The sequence below is a fragment of the Homo sapiens genome, chromosome 10 (genome assembly GCF_000001405.40).
Source record: "Homo sapiens chromosome 10, GRCh38.p14 Primary Assembly".
NCBI lineage: Eukaryota > Metazoa > Chordata > Mammalia > Primates > Hominidae > Homo > Homo sapiens.
Genome location: NC_000010.11, coordinates 6,793,466 through 6,815,686, shown reverse-complemented (window position 1 = coordinate 6,815,686; position 22,221 = coordinate 6,793,466). Strand labels below are relative to the sequence as shown.

The 22,221-nt window shown below is 42.6% G+C and overlaps 1 long non-coding RNA gene across 1 annotated transcript in view, besides 6 other annotated features; it reads right to left on the bottom strand.

The window, feature by feature from the left end:
• LINC00707 (long intergenic non-protein coding RNA 707) overlaps positions 1-22,221 on the bottom strand; it is a 63,309-nt gene that overhangs the window by 27,220 nt on the left and 13,868 nt on the right. The gene's annotated exons all lie outside the window — the stretch shown is intronic.
• Positions 12,419-13,002: an enhancer, noted in NCBI's record as "OCT4-NANOG-H3K27ac hESC enhancer chr10:6844647-6845230 (GRCh37/hg19 assembly coordinates)". NCBI's record gives its function as "activates a minimal SCP1, AML or CMV promoter by ChIP-STARR-seq in naive and primed H9 embryonic stem cells {active_cell/tissue: H9 hESC(naive and primed)}" and the evidence as "EXISTENCE:reporter gene assay evidence [ECO:0000049][PMID:30033119]".
• Positions 13,003-13,586: an enhancer, noted in NCBI's record as "OCT4-NANOG-H3K27ac hESC enhancer chr10:6844063-6844646 (GRCh37/hg19 assembly coordinates)". NCBI's record gives its function as "activates a minimal SCP1, AML or CMV promoter by ChIP-STARR-seq in naive and primed H9 embryonic stem cells {active_cell/tissue: H9 hESC(naive and primed)}" and the evidence as "EXISTENCE:reporter gene assay evidence [ECO:0000049][PMID:30033119]".
• Positions 13,587-14,171: an enhancer, noted in NCBI's record as "H3K27ac hESC enhancer chr10:6843478-6844062 (GRCh37/hg19 assembly coordinates)". NCBI's record gives its function as "activates a minimal SCP1, AML or CMV promoter by ChIP-STARR-seq in primed H9 embryonic stem cells {active_cell/tissue: H9 hESC(primed)}" and the evidence as "EXISTENCE:reporter gene assay evidence [ECO:0000049][PMID:30033119]".
• Positions 17,928-18,883: an enhancer, noted in NCBI's record as "OCT4-NANOG-H3K27ac-H3K4me1 hESC enhancer chr10:6838766-6839721 (GRCh37/hg19 assembly coordinates)". NCBI's record gives its function as "activates a minimal SCP1, AML or CMV promoter by ChIP-STARR-seq in primed H9 embryonic stem cells {active_cell/tissue: H9 hESC(primed)}" and the evidence as "EXISTENCE:reporter gene assay evidence [ECO:0000049][PMID:30033119]".
• Positions 19,841-20,797: an enhancer, noted in NCBI's record as "NANOG-H3K27ac-H3K4me1 hESC enhancer chr10:6836852-6837808 (GRCh37/hg19 assembly coordinates)". NCBI's record gives its function as "activates a minimal SCP1, AML or CMV promoter by ChIP-STARR-seq in naive H9 embryonic stem cells {active_cell/tissue: H9 hESC(naive)}" and the evidence as "EXISTENCE:reporter gene assay evidence [ECO:0000049][PMID:30033119]".
• Positions 20,798-21,755: an enhancer, noted in NCBI's record as "NANOG-H3K27ac-H3K4me1 hESC enhancer chr10:6835894-6836851 (GRCh37/hg19 assembly coordinates)". NCBI's record gives its function as "activates a minimal SCP1, AML or CMV promoter by ChIP-STARR-seq in naive H9 embryonic stem cells {active_cell/tissue: H9 hESC(naive)}" and the evidence as "EXISTENCE:reporter gene assay evidence [ECO:0000049][PMID:30033119]".

The following is a 22,221-nucleotide window of genomic DNA, read 5'->3' as shown; positions in this document are numbered from 1 at the left end:
CTTGTTAAGTTCTTTCCTTATAAACCAAATCTGGAAGTGTTGTTGAATGGCTCCCTACATCTCTCGTGTTGTGATGCCAGCCTGTTCCTTTCCTAGCTGAGCTCTGTTCTGCATGAATTTCAAAATCTGCCGTCCAGCTCATGAGGTTTTCTTCCCCTGGGTAACCTTCCTTTGCCCCTGTTTTGAAATTAAATTCCATTTGTTCTGCTCATGTTGGCGCAAAAATCTTCTCAAGTTAGTTTAAGAAAACCATCACTAAAACAATTTTCTTGAGTAGTATAATTATGAAGCTAGTAATTAGACTCCTCACTACATGAATAGTGTAGTAGTTAGATTACATTCAGACAAGCACCACATACCCCAATCTGTTTTAATCCCCCCCTTAATTGCAATCCTGTTTGTTTGCATAAAAGGGCTTTTAGATGGTAATGATAAGACTATCATATATACTCCTGTACGACTACACCACTTATAAATTGAGGGAGATTTGGTATACAACGTGTTACCCATGATCTTATCCATGGTGGCAGATGTGGGGGAGGCTGGAGGAACTTCTCCAGCATTGTGTCAATGTGGTAAAGGAATGCTAGAATTCAACCTGCGGAAGTGATGTGAGAAGTCACTGAAGTCTGATGCCTCATTGGATGTTCAACATCGTGACATGTTTAGATGCCTTATACCATTCCATTTGTCCAATAAGCCCTGTTTCATACGTGAAAACAGGCTCAGAGAAGGTATGTAATTCATTCAAGTTCAACCAGCGAAGGAAGCAGAGCAGATATTGCAACTCATGCTTTTCTAACTCCAGGGTCCAAATTATTAGCCACTATGCTCAAACAAGGAAGCACATTCTCAGGTCGCCAGCCCATTTTCATTTTATGGAGCCTAAGCCCACGGCTCTCCTTCCACGTGCCTCCCTCCAACTTAGTAAAGTCTTCAGCTTCTCTGATAGGTTAAAGCGTTGAATGCCTCCTGCAAAATTTAGATGGCCCAAGTTTTTGTTGAGAAAGACCATGCCTCGCAAGAGCTGTGGGGCCTGACTGAGCCCACAAAGCCAGAGAGTCTGCAGAAGTTGTTTTCCTGTCTAACAGTGCTGAGCTTTATGGCTTCCCGCAGGGTGGTGGGGAAACATTATGCTAAGAGCATCTCTGAGTTCTCCAGGAGACTCTTCCTGCCTCTTTAATTTGATATTTGCATTTCCTTATCTAGGAAATGAAAATAATTATATCTATGCCTCTAACATTTTAGGGGCGTGTGTGTGTGCATGCACCAAATGAGGTAAGGTGTGTAAAGCATTTTGTAAAATGGAAAATGTTATTGCATGTAAATTATTATTATTATGACTTAACTTGATTTAGAATATGCATTTCTTAATAAAGTGAGTTTATCTCTGGAGTAGTTTAGATGTCGTATGTCATATCAAGGAGAAATAGGATTATATTACATAGAAGTGTTATTTATGTTTATATATTTACCTTATTAAAATATAAAAATACAAGTAGGGTGTTTCCTTAGATGTTGTAAGCCTTCTTTTATATTTTATTCTTTATCCTGGTTTCAATTTGCATGCTTTGAGTTCCCTTTTCAGTAACAGAATTACCCTGTTCTCGGCTGATTGATTCTAGGAATTTGCTGAATGCAGCCAAACTATGACATATTTGCATCTTTAAGGCTTGAAACGTTTTTTCAGTTTTTAAAATGAGTTTATTTTGGGGAAATGTATGATTTCTTGAACTAATGGCAAATTAAGTTAATAAAATTCATACCTGCTGTGGGCAATGATGATTATATATCAAAGGAAAAATAAATCAAAGGCTAAATTCTACACTCTGTAATTGATCACATTTCCCATTCATTTCCATAGAAATACTTTCTGTTTGGGATTATAATGTTGAGGCATAGAGCAATGATTCTCCCTTTTAAGTTGCTTCTCTCTCTGGCCTTCTACTGCTGACACTGTCTCTTTCCTCCTACTTGGTCACCGAAGTGTCAGAGTTTGCTCATCACAAATGTTGACTACTTGGCCTACACTTACAATACTGCAATATTCCTTGCCCTTAGGAAGAATGTTTGTTTGTAATTGTGTTTGCTGATGATTTGTTAACACCAATCACATTTTAAAAACAAACTTGAAAAAAAGCTGGTGCAGAATGGGACACAAAGCTGGAATTCAGGCATCTTTCCCACAAGGCCTTTCTGGCTCTATTTAGCCAAATTCTGGCTCCAATACCCAGATTCTGGCTCTATTTAGTCAATGACATAACCTCCCAGTCCAGTGACCCCTCACTCACATTATGAATTATCGTTCTTAAAGTAAGGCCAATTCAAGAGAATTTAAAAATGACGTGATCTCTGACAATATTTTTGAAACTAGGTAGATTTCACTTAGTATGCATTTTATGGAGATCATAAATCCAAGTCCACCTGAGGCTGGGTCAACCAATTAGAAATCGGGAGATGAGTTAACAAATACTTATTCTACTAGATGTATATCTAAAATGTGTATTTCATTTGAACCCAAATTAGTCTCTTGTGTAGTTTCTATTAAAAATTTGTGCTGAGACAGCTTGATTCTACAGACAATCTTAGCTCTAATCCAGAGCCCTGGAAGTTTCTTAGAATCTGAAATGAGTGATAGTAGCTTTTGTGCTATTATTTACACCATATATCATATTAGGATTTACTTAGTCGATGCTTTCATAGAATATGATATTGATGGACAGCAAAGTGCACAAAGTAATTAAGCAAACAAAAAGCAGCCCACTTAGAGGAAAAATTGCGAAGAGTAAGTTTAGTCAGAGATGCTAGGCAAACTACCAACTATAGAAAGATATTCAGCTAATTCACATCAGGGTTAAGAATATTTAGAAGAAACATTTCGGGCAAGTATGCAGTGAACAGAAGATCAGAAGAGATCAAGACTAGTTTAGAAGACATATAATCAAAAGTCACCAAAATTCAAATCAAATCTATATGATTCAATTTAACAAGCATTCACTTTTCAAATACTCTGTGCCAACACACTGTAGCAGGTGCTCTGATATTTAATATATTACCCTTGACCTCAAAGAATTTAGACCTAGAAAGGAAAGTTAGAAAAAGGCATAAGGGAATTTAAAAAACAACTCACAGTAAGATAATTGAAGAAAGTAATTGATTATTGGCCGGGTGCAGTAGCTTATGCCTGTAATCCCAGCACTTTGGGAGGCCCAGGTGGGAGGATTGCTTGAGTCCAGAAGTTTGAGAACAGCCTTGGCAATATGGTGAAACCCCATCTTTACCAAAAATACAAAAAATGCCAGGCATGGTCGTATGCACCTGTAGTTCCAGCTACTCGGGAGGCGGAAGAGGGAGGATCGCTTGATTCCAGAATGTTGAGGCTGCAGTGAGCCAACATCACACCACTGTGCTACATAACCTGGGAGACAGAGCAAGACCTTGTCTCAACAACAACAACAAAAAACAAAAACAAAAAAAAAAGAAGAAGAAGGAAGAAAGAAAGAAAAGAAAAGAAAAGAAAAAAAGTTGATTATTAAATTAGATGCCTGGGTTTGAATTCCACCAAATCACTTATTTCTTTGTCTGTTTCCTCAATGACATATGAGGACAATAAGACCATGTAGACCAGTAGACCATTTAGAAATGTTGGGTGTAAAAGTACTTTTTAATGTTTCTTCTCTCCCTGGGAATAAACTCATGGGCAGGAACTGAGGCCCTCAGGGATTTAACAACTGGACAAATAAACATGAAAAGGGCCATAGAGTTTAACTCCCAGTGCTGTTGTGAGGAAAAAGAACCCCTTAAGAAGACAGAGTTCCATGTTTCTGTGACAGGTGGTGAGTGGGAGAATCCTGGTGGCATGCGACAGGACGAGAGGAGGACATGCGGGAACTTTGGGTGAAGTGCAGAGTACATCGAAGGAATGAGGGAAAGATTGGAAAGGAAATCTGTCCTTAATTAGGTCATATGGAACCTTTGTTTTCAAGTAGGACAGTCATATTCAGAGCTGTTTGAAAAAGAAAAAAATCTGGAAATAATGTGTAAGTGCGCTGAGAGGCTGGTGATACAGAAAACAGAAAGAGTATCAGAAAGCCTTTGTCTATAGGGAAACAACATGTCCCTGAGTATCTAAGGTGGAAATGGTAGCGGGAATTACCAGGAAGGAAAGATGTGGAGAACAGGGCTAAATTTTCCTTGGATTTCATGGAAGCCCACCCTTGTGATAATGACCATGGTGGCTCATATTTGTACCACGGTAGAGACTGTCTTCTGAATAGCCTTGCTGGCTAGGGTGAGTCTATCCTGAGTAGAGGTTTGAGTCATCAGAGCTCTTCACAAAGATGAATCTGGCAGCAGTGTGGACATGGATTATGAAGAAACTGAACTCAGAAGAAGTGGGAGGTGCTGGGAATAGCTCAGGTGGTAGACATGATTTAGCAAAACTGAACTAAAATGTGTGGGTGGTGGGGCAAAGACATAAAACATGGTCGTGGCACATTTCTCCACACCATTTTTATTTTTACCCTGAGGCAGGAGAACCCTAACTGAGCCTTAAGTCCATGTCACTCACACCGCCTGCTGCACTCTTTGTCCAGGTAAGAGGTAACAGCCCAAACTGATGTGTTGGCAGTGGTTGTTGAAAAGATGAATGTGTTCCTGGCTTATAGAACATAGTCATTCATTGAATGTGGAAATCAGAATGGTGAATAGTCAAAGATGACACCAGGTTTTACAGCTTGAATGATTGAAAGAACGTTAGTTCCATTACATAAAATCAAGCAGAGAGTGGGATTTCGGTTTTGGACAGATTGAGTTGGAGGTAATGGCAGATGGACACCTAGGTAGAGAAATTCAACAGAAAGCTGGAAGTGTTGGAGTTTTAGGGAAGGAGCAGAGCTGAGTATAAAGACTTAGAAGACATACCATTAAATCTGTAGTCGAAGCCAGAGGAGCGATTAATTTCCTGAATTAATAAAGCAGTTCCTACGATGGCAGATGAAGCAACAGTATTCATCACTTCATCCTGGTTCCCACAGTCACATCGAGAGCAGATACAGCTCTCAGAGTGGAAAGAACTTTGCCTGGTTTCTTCGTATTCAGATGTAAAGGGAGAAGAGACTATGATTTAGTTGATTTAATCAGCTTAGTCCACCAGACCACATAATTAAGCCCTCTCTACCACACTTCTAGTCTCATCTGCTTTGTCCCTAAATTACTCAATTGGTATAGTGACAATGATTAAGTATCCAACTACACCACTGTGTATGGGATACAATCATTATAAATCTTAAAGGAATTGTCCAAAGAACTTAACCTGATATGATGTTCTAATAGCATGTAAAGTGAAGCTGAGTTATCAGAGGTTTATTTTATGAAGAGTTTTCTGGGGGAGGAGCCAAGATGGCCAAATAGGTACAGCTCCGGTCTACAGCTCCCAGCATGAGCGACGCAGAAGATGGGTGATTTCTGCATTTCCATCTGAGGTACCAGGTTCATCTCACTAGGAAGTGCCAGACAGTGGGCGCAGGACAGTAGGGGCAGTGCACCGTGTGCCAGCCAGAGCAGGGCAAGGCATTGCCTCACTCGGGAAGTGCAAGGGATCAGGGAGTTCCCTTTCCTGGTCAAGGAAAGGGGTGACAGATGGCACCTGGAAAATCGGGCCACTCCCACCCGAATACTGCGCTTTTCTGACGGGCTTAGGAAACAGCGCACCAGGAGATTATAGCCTGCACCTGGCTCAGAGGGTCCTACGCCCACAGAGCCTCACTGATTGCTAGCACAGCAGTCTGAGATCAAACTGCAATGTGGCAGCGAGGCTGGGGGAGGGGCGCCCGCCATTGCCCAGGCTTGCTTAGGTAAACAAAGCAGCTGGGAAGCTCGAACTGGGTGGAGCCCACCATAGCTCAAGGAGGCCTGCCTGCCTCTGTAGGCTCCACCTCTGGGGGCAGGGCACAGACAAACAAAAAGACAGCAGTAACCTCTGCAAACTTAAATGTCCCTGTCTGACAGTTTTGAGGAGAGCAGTGGTTCTCCCAGCATGCAGCTGGAGATCTGAGAATGGGCAGACTGCCTCCTCAAGTGGGTCCCTGATCCCTGATCCCCGAGCAGCCTAACTGGGAGGAACCCCCCAGTAGAGGCAGACTGACACCTCACACAGCCGGGTACTCCTCTGAGACAAAACTTCCAGAGGAACGATCAGACAGCAGCATTCGCAGATCACGAAAATCTGTGGTTCTGCAGACACCACTGCTGATACCCAGGCAAACAGGGTCTGGAGTGGACTTCTAGCAAACTCCAACAGACCTGCAGCTAAGGGTCCTCTCTGTTAGGAGGAAAACTAACAAACAGAAAGGACATCCACACCAAAAACCCATCTGTACATCACCATCATCAAAGACCAAAAGTAGATAAAACCACAAAGATGGGGAAAAAACAGAACAGAAAAACTGGAAACTCTAAAAAGCAGAGCGCCTCTCCTCCTCCAAAAGAACGCAGTTCCTCACCAGCAACAGAACAAAGCTGGATGGAGAATGACTTTGACGAGTTGAGAGAAGAAGGCTTCAGATGATCAAACTACTCCGAGCTACAGGAGGAAATTCAAACCAAAAGGTGAAGAAGTTGAAAACTTTGAAAAAAATTTAGACGAATGTATAACTAGAATAACCAATACAGAGAAGTGCTTAAAGGAGCTGATGGAGCTGAAAGCCAAGGCTCAAGAACTATGTGAAGAATGCAGAAGCCTCAGGAGCTGCTGTGATCAACTGGAAGAAAGAGTATCAATGATGGAAGATGAAATGAATGAAATGAAGTGAGAAGGGAAGTTTAGAGAAAAAAGAATAAAAAGAAATGAACAAAGCCTCTGAGAAATATGGGACTATGTGAAAAGACCAAATCTGCGTCTGATTGGTGTACCTGAACGTGACTGGGAGAATGGAACCAAGTTGGAAAACACTCTGCAGGATATTATCCAGGAGAACTTCCCCAATCTAGCAAGGCAGGCCAACATTCAGATTCAGGAAATACAGAGAACGCCACAGAGATACTCCTCGAGAAGAGCAACTCCAAGACACATAATTGTCAGATTCACCAAAGTTGAAATGAAGGAAAAAATGTTAAGGGCAGCCAGAGAGAAAGGTCGGGTTACCCACAAAGGGAAGCCCATCAGACTAACAGCGATCTCTCGGCAGAAACTCTACAAGCCAGAAGAGAGTGGGGCCCAATATTCAACATTCTTAAAGAAAAGAATTTTCAACCCAGAATTTCATATCCTGCCAAACTAAGCTTCATAAGTGAAGGAGAAATAAAATACTTTACAGACAAGCAAATGCTGAGAGATTTTGTCACGACCAGGCCTGCCCTAAAAGAGCTCCTGAAGGAAGCACTAAACATGGAAAGGAACAACCGGTACCAGCCGCTGCAAAATCCTGCCAAAATGTAAAGACCATCAAGACTAGGAAGAAACTGCATCAACTAACGAGCAAAATAACCAGCTAACATCATAATGACTGGATCAAATTCACACATAACAATATTAACTTTAAATGTAAATGGACTAAATGCTCCAATTAAAAGACACAGACTGGCAAATTGGATAAAGAGTCAAGACCCATCAGTGTGCTGTATTCAGGAAACCCATCTCACCTGCAGAGACACACATAGGCTCAAAATAAAAGGATGGAGGAAGATCTACCAAGCAAATGGAAAACAAAAAAAGGCAGGGGTTGCAATCCTAGTCTCTGATAAAACAGACTTTAAACCAACAAAGATCAAAAGAGACAAAGAAGGCCATTACATAATGGTAAATGGATCAATTCAACAAGAAGAGCTAACTGTCCTTAATATATATGTGCATCCAATACTGGAGCACCCAGATTCATAAAGCAAGTCCTGAGTGACCTACAAAGAGACTTAGACTCCCACACAATAATAATGGGAGACTTTAACACCCCACTGTCAACATTAGACAGATCAACGAGACAGAAAGTCAACAAGGATACCCAGGAATTGAACTCAGCTCTGCACCAAGTGGACCTAATAGACGTCTACAGAACTCTCCACCCCAAATCAACAGAATATACATTTTTTTCAGCACCACACCACACCTATTCCAAAATTGACCACATAGTTGGAAGTAAAGTTCTCCTCAGCAAAAGTAAAAGAACAGAAATTATAACAAACTATCTCTCAGACCACAGTGCAATCAAACTAGAACTCAGGATTAAGAAACTCACTCAAAACCACTCAACTACATGGAAACTGAACAACCTGCTCCTGAATGACTACTGGGTACATAACAAAATGAAGGCAGAAATAAAGAAGGTTCTTTGAAACCACTGAGAACAAAGACACAACATACCAGAATCTCTGGGACACATTCAAAGCAGTGTGTAGAGGGAAATTTATAGCACTAAATGCCCACAAGAGAAAGCAGGAAAGATCCAAAATTGACACCCTCACATCACAATTAAAAGAACTAGAAAAGCAAGAGCAAACACATTCAAAAGCTAGCAGAAGGCAAGAAATAACTAAAATCAGAGCAGAATTGCAGGAAATAGAGACAAAAAAAACCTTTCAAAAATTAATGAATCCAGGAGCTGGTGTTTTGAAAGGATCAACAAAGTTGATAGACCGCTAGCAAGACTAATAAAGAAAAAAAGAGAGAAGAATCAAATAGATGCAATAAAAAATGATAAAGGGCATATCACCACTGATCCCACAGAAATACAAACTACCATCAGAGAATACTACAAACACCTCTACGCAAATAAACTAGAAAATCTAGAAGAAATGGATAAATTCCTCGACACATACACTCTCCCAAGATTAAATCAGAAAGAAGTTGAATCTCTGAATAGACCAATAAAAGGATCTGAAATTGTGGCAATAATCAATAGCTTACCAACCAAAAAGAGTCCAGGACCAGATGGATTCACAGCTGAATTCTACCAGAGGTACAAGGAGGAACTGGTACCATTCCTTCTGAAACTATTCCAATCAATAGAAAAGGAAGGAATCCTCCCTAACTCATTTGATGAGGCCAGCATCATCCTGATACCAAAGCCAGGCAGAGACACAACCAAAAAAGAGAATTTTAGACCAATATCCTTGATGAACATTGATGCAAAAATCCTCAATAAAATACTGGCAAACCGAATCCAGCAGCACATCAAAAAGCTTATCCACCATGATCAAGTGGGCTTCATCCCTGGGATGCAAGGCTGGTTCAATATATGCAAATCAATAAATGTAATCCAGCATATAAACAGAACCAAAGACAAAAACCACATGATTATCTCAATAGATGCAGAAAAGGCCTTTGACAAAATTCAACAACCCTTCATGCTAAAAACTCTTAATAAATTAGGTGTTGATGGGACGTATCTCAAAATCATAAGAGCTATCTATGACAAACCCACCGCCAATATCATACTGAATGGGCAAACACTGGAAGCATTCCCTTTGAAAACTGGCACAAGACAGGGATGCCCTCTCTCACCACTCCTATTCAACATAGTGTTGGAAGTTCTGGCCAGGGCAATTAGGCAGGAGAAGGAAATAAAGGGTATTCAATTAGGAAAAGAGGAAGTCAAATTGTCCCTGTTTGCAGATGACATGATTGTATATCTAGAAAACCCCATTGCCTCAGCCCAAAATCTCATTAAGCTGATAAGCAACTTCAGCAAAGTCTCAGGATATGAAATCAATGTACAAAAATCACAAGCATTCTTAGACACCAATAACAGACAAACAGAGAGCCAAATCTTGAGTGAACTCCCATTCACAATTGCTTCAAAGAGAATAAAATACTTAGGAATCCAACTTACAAGCGACATGAAGGACCTCTTCAAGGAGAACTACAAACCACTGCTCAACAAAATAAAAGAGGATACAAACAAATGGAAGAACATTCCATGCTCATGGGTAGGAAGAATCAATATCGTGAAAATGGCCATAGTGCCCAAGGTAATTTATAGATTCAGTGCCATCCCCATCAAGCTACCAATGTCTTTCTTCACAGAATTGGAAAAAACTACTTTAAAGTTCATATGGAACCAAAAAAGAGCCCGCATCGCCAAGTCAATCCTAAGCCAAAAGAACAAAGCTGGAGGCATCACACTACCTGACTTCAAACTATACTACAAGGCTACAGTAACCAAAACAGCATGGTACTGGTACCAAAACAGAGATACAGATCAATGGAACAGAACAGAGCCCTCAGAAATAACGCCACGTATCTACAACTATCTGATCTTTGACAAACCTGAGAAAAGCAATGGGGAAAGGATTCTCTATTTAATAAATGGTGCTGGGAAAACTGGCTAGCCATATGTAGAAAGCTGAAACTGGATCCCTTCCTTACACCTTATACAAAAATTAATTCAAGATGGATTAAAGACTTCAACATTAGACCCAAAACCATAAAAATCCTAGAAGAAAACCTAGGCATTACCATTCAGGACATAGGCATAGGGAAGGACTTCATGTCTAAAACACCAAAAGCAATGTCAACAAAAGCCAAAATTGACAAATGGGATCTAATTCAACTAAAGAGCTTCTGCACAGCAAAAGAAACTACCATCAGAGTGAATAGGCAACCTACAAAATGGGAGAAAATTTTCGCAACCTACTCATTTGACAAACGGCTAATATCCAGAATCTACAATGAACTCCAATAAATTTACAAGAAAAAAAAAACCCCATCAAAAAGTGGGCAAAGGACATGAACAGACACTTCTCAAAAGAAGACATTTATGCAGCCAAAAGACACATGAAAAAATGCTCATCATCACTGGCCATCAGAGAAATGCAATTCAAAACCATAATGAGATACCATCTCATACCAGTTAGAATGGCGATCATTAAAAAGTCAGGAAACAACCGGTGCTGGAGAGGATGTGGAGAAATAGGAACACTTTTACACTGTTGGTGGGACTGTAAACTAGTTCAACCATTGTGGAAGTCAGTGTGGCGATTCCTCAGGGATCTAGAACTAGAAATACCATTTGACCCAGCCATCCCATTACTGGGTATATACCCAAAGGACTGTAAATCATGCTGCTACAAAGACACATGCACACGTGTGTTTATTGCGGCACTATTCACAATAGCAAAGACTTGGAACCAACCCAAATGTCCAACAATGATAGACTGGATTAAGAAAAGGTGACACATATACACCATGGAATACTATGCAGCCATAAAAAATGATGAGTTCATGTCCTTTGTAGGGACATGGATGAAATTGGAAATCATCATTCTCAGTAAACTATCACAAGGACTAAAAACCAAACACCGCATGTTCTCACTCATAGGTAGGAATTGAACAATAAGAACACATGGACACAGGAAGGGGAACATCACACTTTGGGGACTGTTGTGGGGTAGGGGAGGGAGGAGGGATAGCATTAGGAGATATACCTAATGCTAAATGACGAGTTAATGGGTGCAGCACACCAGCATGGCACATGTATACGTATGTAACTAACCTGCACATTGTGCATATGTACCCTAAAACTTAAAGTATAATTAAAAAAATTAAAAAAGAACAACACCACCAAAAAAAAAGTTTTCTGCACATCTCTAATTCTATTCTGCACATTACTGATCAATCATTTAAATGCTGAATATATTTTTAAAAACTAGGGAGTTTAAAACCATCAAGAACTTTTTTTCAATCATTTACCAATATCAGAAGGAAGTTCCATGAGGCTAAATTGGAAAGAATTAATTCTCACACGGAAAGATAGAAATATTTATCATATAAATGATTAAAAGCTAAGAATGATTAGAATCATAAAACTCTAATAAAAAAACTGCAGTGCAAAATTTCAGTATTTTGAAATAAGTAAGTGGCTTGCTATGAGGACTATTGCTTCTATCTGCAAAATTCATATAAATTTTAAATGCAAGGGATGGCATTTCTTGGTGGAAGGAGAAAAAAGTAGACAAGAAGCCTGGGGTTATGTTTTCTGAGACCTTGGACAAGTCATCTGCCCTGTTTGGGTGTCAATTTTCTTATAGATAGATGAGTTTAGAATAAATCCAGCTTTTCACATGCCCTCCCAGGAGCACCTTTACGGTTTGCCCTGGGAGTGGTGGTATGTGGGGGGACTGAGCTTCACCCAGGGTGGTCCCATTTGCCTTGTTTACATTTCCCTTTAGAGTTTCTTTTTCATTTAAACAAATGATTCTAAGCTTTAAAAAGTATGTTTGCAAACCCTTAGACTAGATGTTCTTCACCCATCTCTGAAATTTGTAGAGTCTAAACTATTGTATACTGGAAGTCTTATGGAATAGTCTTTTTAAAATAACATTTGCTTTGTGGACAAAGAGTAAATAATGATTAAATAAGCAGGAGGGAGTAGGGTAGAGAGAGAAGGCATGGCACATGACTGGCAACCCAAAGGCTTCATGTTGGTGGTTTCATTCTCCAGGCTTGCCAACTTCTACTCCTTCAATGCAGACCTCAACTTCTCTAAGGGCCCACCCTGACTCCTTCTGCAAATATTGCAGTCTCTGCCCTCCAGCCCCAGTCACCTTCCAACACACACAAACGCACACCCACACTTCTGATCCACCTTACTGGGCTGCACTATTTATTTTTTCCATAGTATTTGACACCTTAAGGGAAAGAGCTCTGTGTCTTTCGTTCATTGCTGTATCCCAATTTCCTTGGGTTGTGCAGGACACAAACACTTGTTGAAAGAATGGATTCTGGGTGACTGAGCCCAACTGTCATGCCTCTGAGCCCAAGCCAAGCCATCGCATACCCTGTGACTTGCACGTATATGCCCAGATGGCCTGAAGTAACTGAAGAATCACAAAAGAAGTGAATATGCCCTGCCCCACCTTAACTGACGACATTCTACCACAAAAGAAGTGTAAATGGCCGGTCCTTGCCTTAAGTGATGACATTACCTTGTGAAAGTCCTTTTCCTGGCTCATCCTGACTCAAAAAGCTCCCCCACTGAGCACCTTGCAACCCCCACTCCTGCCCGCCAGAGAACAAACCCCCTTTGACTGTAATTTTCCTTTACCTACCCAAATCCTATAAAATGGCCCCACCCCTATCTCCCTTCACTGACTCTCTTTTCGGACTCAGCCTGCCTGCACCCAGGTGAAATAAACAGCCATGTTGCTCACACAAAGCCTGTTTGGTGGTCTCTTCACACGGATGCGCATGAAATTTGGTGCCGTGACTCGGATCGGGGGACCTCCCTTGGGAGATCAATCCCCTGTCCTCCTGCTCTTTGATCCATGAGAAAGATCCACCTACGACCTCAGGTCCTCAGACCGACCAGCCCAAGAAACATCTCACCAATTTTAAATCCAGTAAGCGGCCTCTTTTTACTCTCTTCTCCAACCTCCCTCACTATCCCTCAACCTCTTTCTCCTTTCAATCTTGGTGCCACACTTCAATCTCTCCCTTCTCTTAATTTCAATTCCTTTCATTTTCTGGTAGAGACAAAGGAGACATGTTTTATCTGTGGACCCAAAACTCTGGTGCTGGTCATGGACTGGGAAGGCAGCCTTCCCTTGGTGTTTAATCATTGCAGGGACGCCTCTCTGATTATACACCCACGTTTCAAGGGTGTCAGACCACGCAGGGACGCCTGCCTTGGTCCTTCACCCTTAGCGGCAATTTCCGCTTTTCTGGGGAAGGGGCAAGTACCCCAACCCCTTCTCTCCTTGTCTCTACCCCTTCTCTGCTTTTCTGGGGACAGGGCACGTACCCCAACCCCTTCTCTCCTTGTCTCTACCCCTTCTCTGCTTTTCTGGGGACAGGGCAAGTACCCCAACCCCTTCTCTCCTTGTCTCTATCCCTTCTCTGCTTTTCTGGGAGAGGGGCAAGTACTCCTCAACCCCTTCTCCTTCACTCTTAGTGGCAAGTCCTGCTTTTCTAGAGGATGGGCAAGTACCCCAACCTCATATCTCTGCACCCCAATCCCTTATTTCCATGCCCTGACCTCTTATTTCTGTGCCCCATCCCTTATTTCCATGCCCTGACTTCTTATCTCTGCACCCAAACCCCTTTTCCCACTTTTCTGGAAGGTAAGAACCCCTGAATCCCTTCCCTCCATTTCTCTACTCTCTCTTCTCTCTAGGCTTGCTTCCTTCACTATGGGAACATTCCACCCTCCATTCCTCCTTCTACTCCCTTGGCCTGTGTTCTCAAAAACATAAAACCTCAACTCACACCTGACCTAAAACCTAAATGCCTTATTTTCTTCTGCAATGCCGCTTGACCCCAATGCAAACTCGACAGTAGTTCCAAATAGCCAGAAAATGGCACTTTGAATTTTTCCATCCTGCAAGATCTAAATAATTCTTGTTGTAAAATAGGCAAACGGTCTGAGGTGCCTGACGTCCAGGCATTCTTTTATACATCAGTCCCTTCCTAGTCTGTGCCCAGTGCAACTCATCCCAAATCTTCCTTCTTTCCCTCCCGCCTGTCCCCTCAGTACCAACCCCAAGCGTCACTGAGTCTTTCTAATCTTCCTTTTCTACAGACCCATCTGACCTCTCCCTTCCTCCCCAGGCTGCTCCTTGCCAGGCCGAGCTAGGTCCCAAATCTTCCTCAGCCTCTGTTCCTCCACCCTATAATCTTTTTATCACCTCCCCTCCTCACACCTGGTCCGGATTACAGTTTTGTTCAGTGACTAGCCCTCCCCCTCCTGCCCAGCAATTTACTCTTAAAAAGGTGGCTGGAGCTAAAGGCATAGTCAAGGTTAATGCTCCTTTTTCTTTATCCCAAATCAGAAGCGTTTAGGCTCTTTTTCATCAAATATAAAAATCCAGCCCAGTTCATGACTTGTTTGGCAGCAACCGTGAGACACTTTACAGCCCTAGACCCTAAAAGGTCAAAAGGCCGTCTTATTCTTAAAATACATTTTATTACCCAATCTGCTCCCGACACTAAATAAAACTCCAAAAATTAAATTCCGGCCCTCAAACCCCACAACAGGATTTAATGAACCTCGCCTTCAAGGTGTACAATAATAGAAAAAAGTTGCAATTCCTTGCCTCCACTGTGAGACAAACCCCAGCCACATCTCCAGCACCCAAGAACTTCCAAACGCCTGAACCACAGTAGCCAGGCGTTCCTCCAGAACCTCCTCCCACAGGAGCTTGCTACACGTGCTGGAAATCTGTCCACTGGGCCAAGGAATGCCCACAGCCCGGGATTCCTCCTAACCTGTGTCCCATCTGTGTGGGACCCCACTGAAAATCGGACTGTTCAACTCACCTGGCAGCCACTCCCAGAGCCCCTGGAACTCTGGCCCAAGGCTCTCTGACTCCTTCCCAGATCTTCTCAGCTTAGCGGCTGAAGACTGACGCTGCCGGATCGCCTCGGAAGCCCCCTAGACCATCACGGACGCCGAGCTTCCGGTAACTCTCACAGGGAAGGTAAGCCCGTCCCCTTCTTAATCAATACGGAGGCCACCCACGCCACATTACCTTCTTTTCAAGGGCCTGTTTCCCTTGCCTCCATAACTGTTGTGGATATTGACGGCCAGGCTTCTAAACCTCTTAAAACTCCCCAACTCTGGTGCCAACTTAGACAATACTCTTTTAAGCACTCCTTTTAGTTATCTCCACCTGCCCAGTTCCCTTATTAGGCTGAGACACTTTAACTAAAGTATCTGCTTCCCTGACTATTCCTGGACTACAGCTGTATCTCATTGCCACCCTTCTTCCCAATCCAAAGCCTCCTTTGCGTCTCCTCTTGTATCCCCCCACCTTAACCCACAAGTATAAGATACCTCTACTCCCTCCTTGGTGACCGATCATGCACCCCTTACCATCTCATTAAAACCTAGTCACCCTTACCCCACTCAATGCCAATATCCCATCCCACAGCACGCTTTAAAAAGATTAAAGCCTGTTATCACTCGCCTGCTAAAGCATGGCCTTTTAAAACCTAAAAACTCTCCTTACAATTCCCCCATTTTACCTGTCCTAAAACCAGACAAGCCTTACAATTTAGTTTAGGATCTGCGCCTTATCAACCAAATTGTTTTGCCTATCCACCCCATGGCGCCAAACCCATATACTCTCCTATCCTCAATACCTGCCTCTACAACCCATTATTCTGTTCTAGATCTCAAACATGCTTTCTCTACTATTCCGTTGCACCCTTCATCCCAGCCTCTCTTCGCTTTCACTTGGACTGACCCTGACACCCATCAAGCTCAGCAAATTACCTAGGCTGTACTGCTGCAAAGCTTCACAGACAGCCCCCATTACTTCAATCAAGCCCAAATTTCTTCCTCATCTGTTACCTATCTCTGCATAATTCTCATAAAAACACACGTGCTCTCCCTGCCAATCGTGTCCGACTGATCTCTCAAACCCAAGCACCTTCTACAAAACGACAACTCCTTTCCTTCCTAGGCATGATTAGCGCAGTCAGAATTCTTATACAAGAGCCAGGACCACACCCTACAGCCTTTCTGTCCAAACAATTTGACCTTACTGTTTTAGCCTAGCCCTCATGTCTGCGTGCAGCGGCTGCCACTGCTTTAATACTTTTAGAGGCCGTCAAAATCACAAACTGTGCTCAATTCACTCTCTACAGTTCTCATAACTTCCAAAATCTATTTTCTTCCTCATACCTGATGGATATACTTTTTGCTTCCTGGCTCCTTCAGCTATACTCACACTTTGTTGAGCCTCCCACAATTACTGTTGTTCCTGGCCCAGACTTCAATCCGGCCTCCCACATTATTCCAGATACCACACCTGACCCCCATGATTGTATCTCTCTGATCCACCTGACATTCACCCCATTTCCCCAAATTTCTTTCTTTCCTGTTCCTCACCCTGATCACGCTTGATTTATTGATGGCAGTTCCACCAGGCCTAATCGCCACACACCAGCAAAGGCAGGTTATGCTATAGTACAAGCCACTAGCCCGTCTCTTCGAACCTCTCATTTCCTTTCCATCGTGGAAATCTATCCTCAAGAAAATAACTTCTCAGTGTTCCATCTGCTATTCTACTACTCCTCAGGGATTATTCAGGCCCCCTCCCTTCCCCACACATCAAGCTCGAGGAATTGCCCCACCCAGGACTGGCAAATTAGCTTTACTCCACATGCCCTGAGTCAGAAAACTAAAATACCTCTTAGTCTAGGTAGACACTTTCACTGGATAGGTACAGGCCTTTCCTACAGGGTCTGAGAAGGCCACCACAGTCATTTCTTCCATTCTGTCAGACATAATTCCTCAGTTTAGCCTTCCCACCTCAATACAGTCTGATAACAGATGAGCCTTTATTAGTCAAATCAGCCAAGCAGTTTTTCAGGCTCTTAGTATTCAGTGAAACCTTTATATCCCTTATGGTCCTCCGTCTTCAAGAAAAGTAGAATGGACTAAAGGTCTTTTAAAAACACACCTCACCAAGCTCAGCCACCAAAAAGGACTGGACAATACTTTTACCACTTTCCCTTCTCAGAATTCAGGCCTGTCCTCAGAATGCTACAGGGTACAGCCCATTTAAGCTCCTGTATAGATGCTCCTTTTTATTAGGCCCCAGTCTCATTCTAGACACCAGACCAACTTAGACTGTGCCCCAAAAAACTTGACATCCCTACTATCTTCTGTCTTGTCATACTCCTATTCACCGTTCTCAACTACTCATACATGCCCTGCTCTTGTTTACACTGCCTGTTTACACTGTTTCTCCAAGCCATCACAGCTGATATCTCCTGGTGCTATCCCCAAACTGCCACTCTTAACTCTTGAAGTAAATAAATAATCTTTGCTGGCAGGACTATGTGAATCTCCTTAGGCACTCTCTAATCAGATATCCTAAGTTATCCTAATTCTTAGACCTTTTATACCTGTTTTTCTCCTTCTGTTATTCCATTTAGTTTCTCAATTCATCCAAAACTGTATCCAGGCCATCACCAATCATTCTATATGACAAATGTTTCTTCTAACATCCCCACAATATCACCCCTTACCACAAGACCTCCCTTCAGCTTAATCTCTCCCACTCTAGGTTCCCAAGCCACCCCTAATCCAACTTGAAGCAGCCCTCAGAAACATCGCCCATTCTCTCTCCATACCACCCCCCAAAAATTTTCGCTGCCCCAACACTTCAACACTATTTTGTTTTATTTTTCTTATTAATATAAGAAGGCAGGAATGTCAGGCCTCTGAGCCCAAGCCAAGCCATCACATCCCCTGTGACTTGCACGTATATGCCCAGATGGCCTGAAGTAACTGAAGAATCACAAAAGAAGTGAATATGCCCTGCCCCACCTTAACTGATGACATTCCACCGCAAAAGAAGTGCAAATGGCCGGTCCTTGCCTTAAGTGATGACATTACCTTGTGAAAGTCCTTTTCCTAGCTCATCCTGGCTCAAAAAGCACCCCCACTGAGCACCTTGCAACCCCCACTCCTGCCCGCCAGAGAACAAACCCCCTTTGACTGTAATTTTCCTTTACCTACCCAAATCCTATAAAACGGCCCCACCCCCATCTCCCTTCACTGACTCTCTTTTCGGACTCAGCCCACCTGCACCCAGGTGAAATAAACAGCCATGTTGCTCACACAAAGCCTGTTTGGTGGTCTCTTCACACGGACGCGCATGAAACCAACTTTTAAACCAAGGATACCTGGCCAGTTCCAAGCCACCATTGCAAAATCCTCTCCTCTCCTGGCCTCTCATTCTCCCCAAGTGCTCTTCTCTCTGAGTCCCTTTTTCTGAATCACGTGAGTGATAGTTTGATGCCATCCAAATCTTATTAGGTCTTAATTTATGATGAAGACAACTCAGGGCTATCTGGCCAGTCCCAGGGTTTTAAACCTTCGAGGAGGACTTTTGGAGGATGAAAACAGCTTTTGGTACCTTTGCAGTTGGGAAAATTAGTGTTTTGAGAAGGAGGCTGCATCCTTCCTACTTCGTATGGTGAACTTGGGCACAGAAGGCAGAGTCACAGAGCTTGGAGAATGCAATTTTAAAAAATTCATGCAAGGGGTGGGGCTTGGGGAGAGAAGGGAAATGTCACCAGTACTCCTACATACACTGTTGGAGGAAAGATATAAGTACCATTTACTTGGCACCTGTTACTGACTGGGAACTATACCAGCCACTCTAATAGGCTAGTTTTAACATGTAGGTTTTACCATTATCCAGGTATGGTGAGGCACAGGTCAGAAGATGACTGCCATTGGAAAGATGGTTTGTCACTCACAGTTCCCAGGAGGAGGGGCATGTCACACCATGGGAGCCCACATGGGGAGTCAGGAGGCAAATGGAGTGAAGAGTAAGCACGGCCACAGCCTCTATTGTGGCTTCCGTGGAAGGAATGGGGGAACCAGGGTGAGCAGGCTTAGGATCTGCTAGTGTGAATAATTTCAGCAGGCTCTGGGGCATGGACGTGGCACCTAGTTGTTATCTGGACCTGGGGTGATTAGGGCAGGGGAGGTGGCCCTGAATGGGAGAGATTATGGAGATGGTTGGGGAAAGGGCTCTGGATCGGTTGGTTCCATATAAAAAGTACACACACAGGGGAGTTATTTGCTCTTCCTAGGAATTGGCTAACCCCAAGAAGGGCAGGCCCTTCAGGGTCAGAAAGGCCTCAGATGTCAAGGCATCAGAAATACAGAAAATAGAGGCATGATCAATACACTTATTTTATTTAAAAACATGAAGATTTGAACAAAACAGTCATCCACCTGTCTGCGACAAAGAATTATTTGCATCCATAAAGGAGAAGACAAATGTCATCCTTGTTGTGGAACGGGCAGAGTACAAGGGAAAAGAGAAAATATAGATCCACCTCCCACCTCTCACTCAGGCCATGGAACCACTAAACAGGAAAAGACGAACTTAACGCAGACTGGAAAAATGACACAAGATGAGCTGCCACCCTCTCCGTACCACACAGTGTACTTGCATAAAGCCTCACGGCTCCACAAGAAACCCTTTGTGAAGGGTTGTCCATTTGCCAAAAACACCTCCTCTGCCTGTATTTCAGCAAAGGGCAGAAAGCTCTGTACTGTGTCTCCTAAAAGGTTTGGGGAAACTAAATCTAGAAACTTTCTCTCTTAACTTTCGTGAAACTCCTGAACAAAGCTTAGGAGAATGTGGGTGATGGGGATGATGGTGTTTTTTTTGTTTGTTTGTTTGGTTGTTAGGTTGGTTGGTTGGTTGGTTGGTTGGTTGGGTTTTTACCTTTTAGTTTAGGTTCAGGGGTACATGTGTAGGTTTGTTACATAGGTAAACTCATGTCACAGGAGTTTGTTGTACAGATTATTTCATCACCCAGGTATTAAGCCCAGTACCCAATAGTTATCTTTTCTGCTCCTCCCCCTCCTCCCACCCTTCTGCGCCTCCCCCTCCTCCCACCCTTCTGCGCCTCCCCCTCCTCCCACCCTTCTGCGCCTCCCCCTCCTCCCACCCTTCTGCGCCTCCCCCTCCTCCCACCCTTCTGCGCCTCCCCCTCCTCCCACCCTTCTGCGCCTCCCCCTCCTCCCACCCTTCTGCGCCTCCCCCTCCTCCCACCCTTCTGCGCCTCCCCCTCCTCCCACCCTTCTGCGCCTCCCCCTCCTCCCACCCTCCCCCATCAAGCAGACCTTAGTGCCGGTTGTTTCCCTCTTTGTGTTCAGGAGTTCTCATCGTTTCACTCCCACTTACAAGTGAGAACATGCAGCACTTGACTTTCTGTTCTTGCATTCATTTGCTAACGATAATGGCCTCCAGCTTCATCCATGTTCCTGCACAAGACGTGATCTTGTTCTGATGGTTTTAACCGTAAACACTGTTCATTTTCTTTTGGGTGACATTGGCTTCTTAAGATGAAATCAACTCATTTTAACCTCAAAGATCTTCGAAAATGCACACAAGTTTTTTCATTCCAATTGAAGGAAAGATGTGGGTGCCCTAGCCTGCTTCACCAAATTCCAGCTACGAAAAACCCTCTTCTATTTGTGATCGATTCCAGTGGGAATGTTTTAGACGAGTGGATAAACCTCCACCCACGTGGGTGACTCTTACTCCCGTGCTAGGTGCAGAACTGCCGGGATGGACACACCCAAATCTGGTATTGAAAGTAGTTTCTGCTAAAATTTGATTCTGATCTGAGTTTCCGGTAGGAAATAGCTGCATAATAATGTTTAGTGTGTACATATTTTGAGGTGGAGGAAAACAGCGAAGTGTAGTTTCTGTAGTTTGCAACACTCAGAAGCGGTAATTGGGCTGGCATCAGATGGCACCTGTGCTGGGGCCTCCTGTACCACGGCCAGACGCACTCCCCAGAACCCCACACGGCACGTGTGGGCAAGGTTTGACTTGGAGCATGGAAATAAATCAGAGGTCATCATTTTAGTCTTTTTTTTTTTTCAAGATAGCAATTTGTGGCAACTTTTGTTGGGTATTTAACATAATAGCTGCCTGTTAGAAACTACCTTTGGAAGTTTTAAAGTTTTAAAATGTCAACTTTCCGGCAAATTTTCTTTATTTAAAATTTTTTTTCAAAGTATAGGAGGAATATGATAATGAGAAAAAAAATTAATTTGGAAGAAAATTACACTACATTTAAAAATTTAGAAAAGCTTAAAGCAATATTTCTCATTCAGAGAAAATCCCTGTAATGTGGTATTATTTTTTTTTAGCATTTTTCCTATTGCTTTCTTTTCTCTTCTTCGCTCTCTTTGGGTCATATTACATCTATCATTTTGAACCCTACTTTTTGACATTTAACTTTGGATCAAAAATATTTTCCTATGCGATAGAAAAAATCATGACAGCATCATTTTAAATGGCCTTAAATAATATTCTGTCATATGGCGTGCTCTCATTTATTTAACCATCCTCTTATGTTATATTTTTTCTAATTTCTTATTAATTTAAAATAATGATGCAATTAATATTTTTGTACATAAATATTCCTGTGCACTTATAACATGGGGTAAAATATTTTTAAAGATTTTCTTGTCCTTCAAATTATCCAATGTCCCTCCCCCTTTTTTTTGCCAACATCAAAAAAGGAAGATTTCATCACAGAGAAAGATCAAAACGAGAGAGAGAGAGAGCAAGAAAGAGAGAGGAGAGAGAGCGCCAAAGTTTTACTTTTTGAGTTTTAAAACTCATAACAGAGACGTAATCCTGAAAATCTATGTTTTTGGTTGACAGGAGCAGACTTTTTTAAAAAACAGAAAAATTTTTCTTTTTGCTTTGCATTCAAAGAATTAAACCTATAAGGAA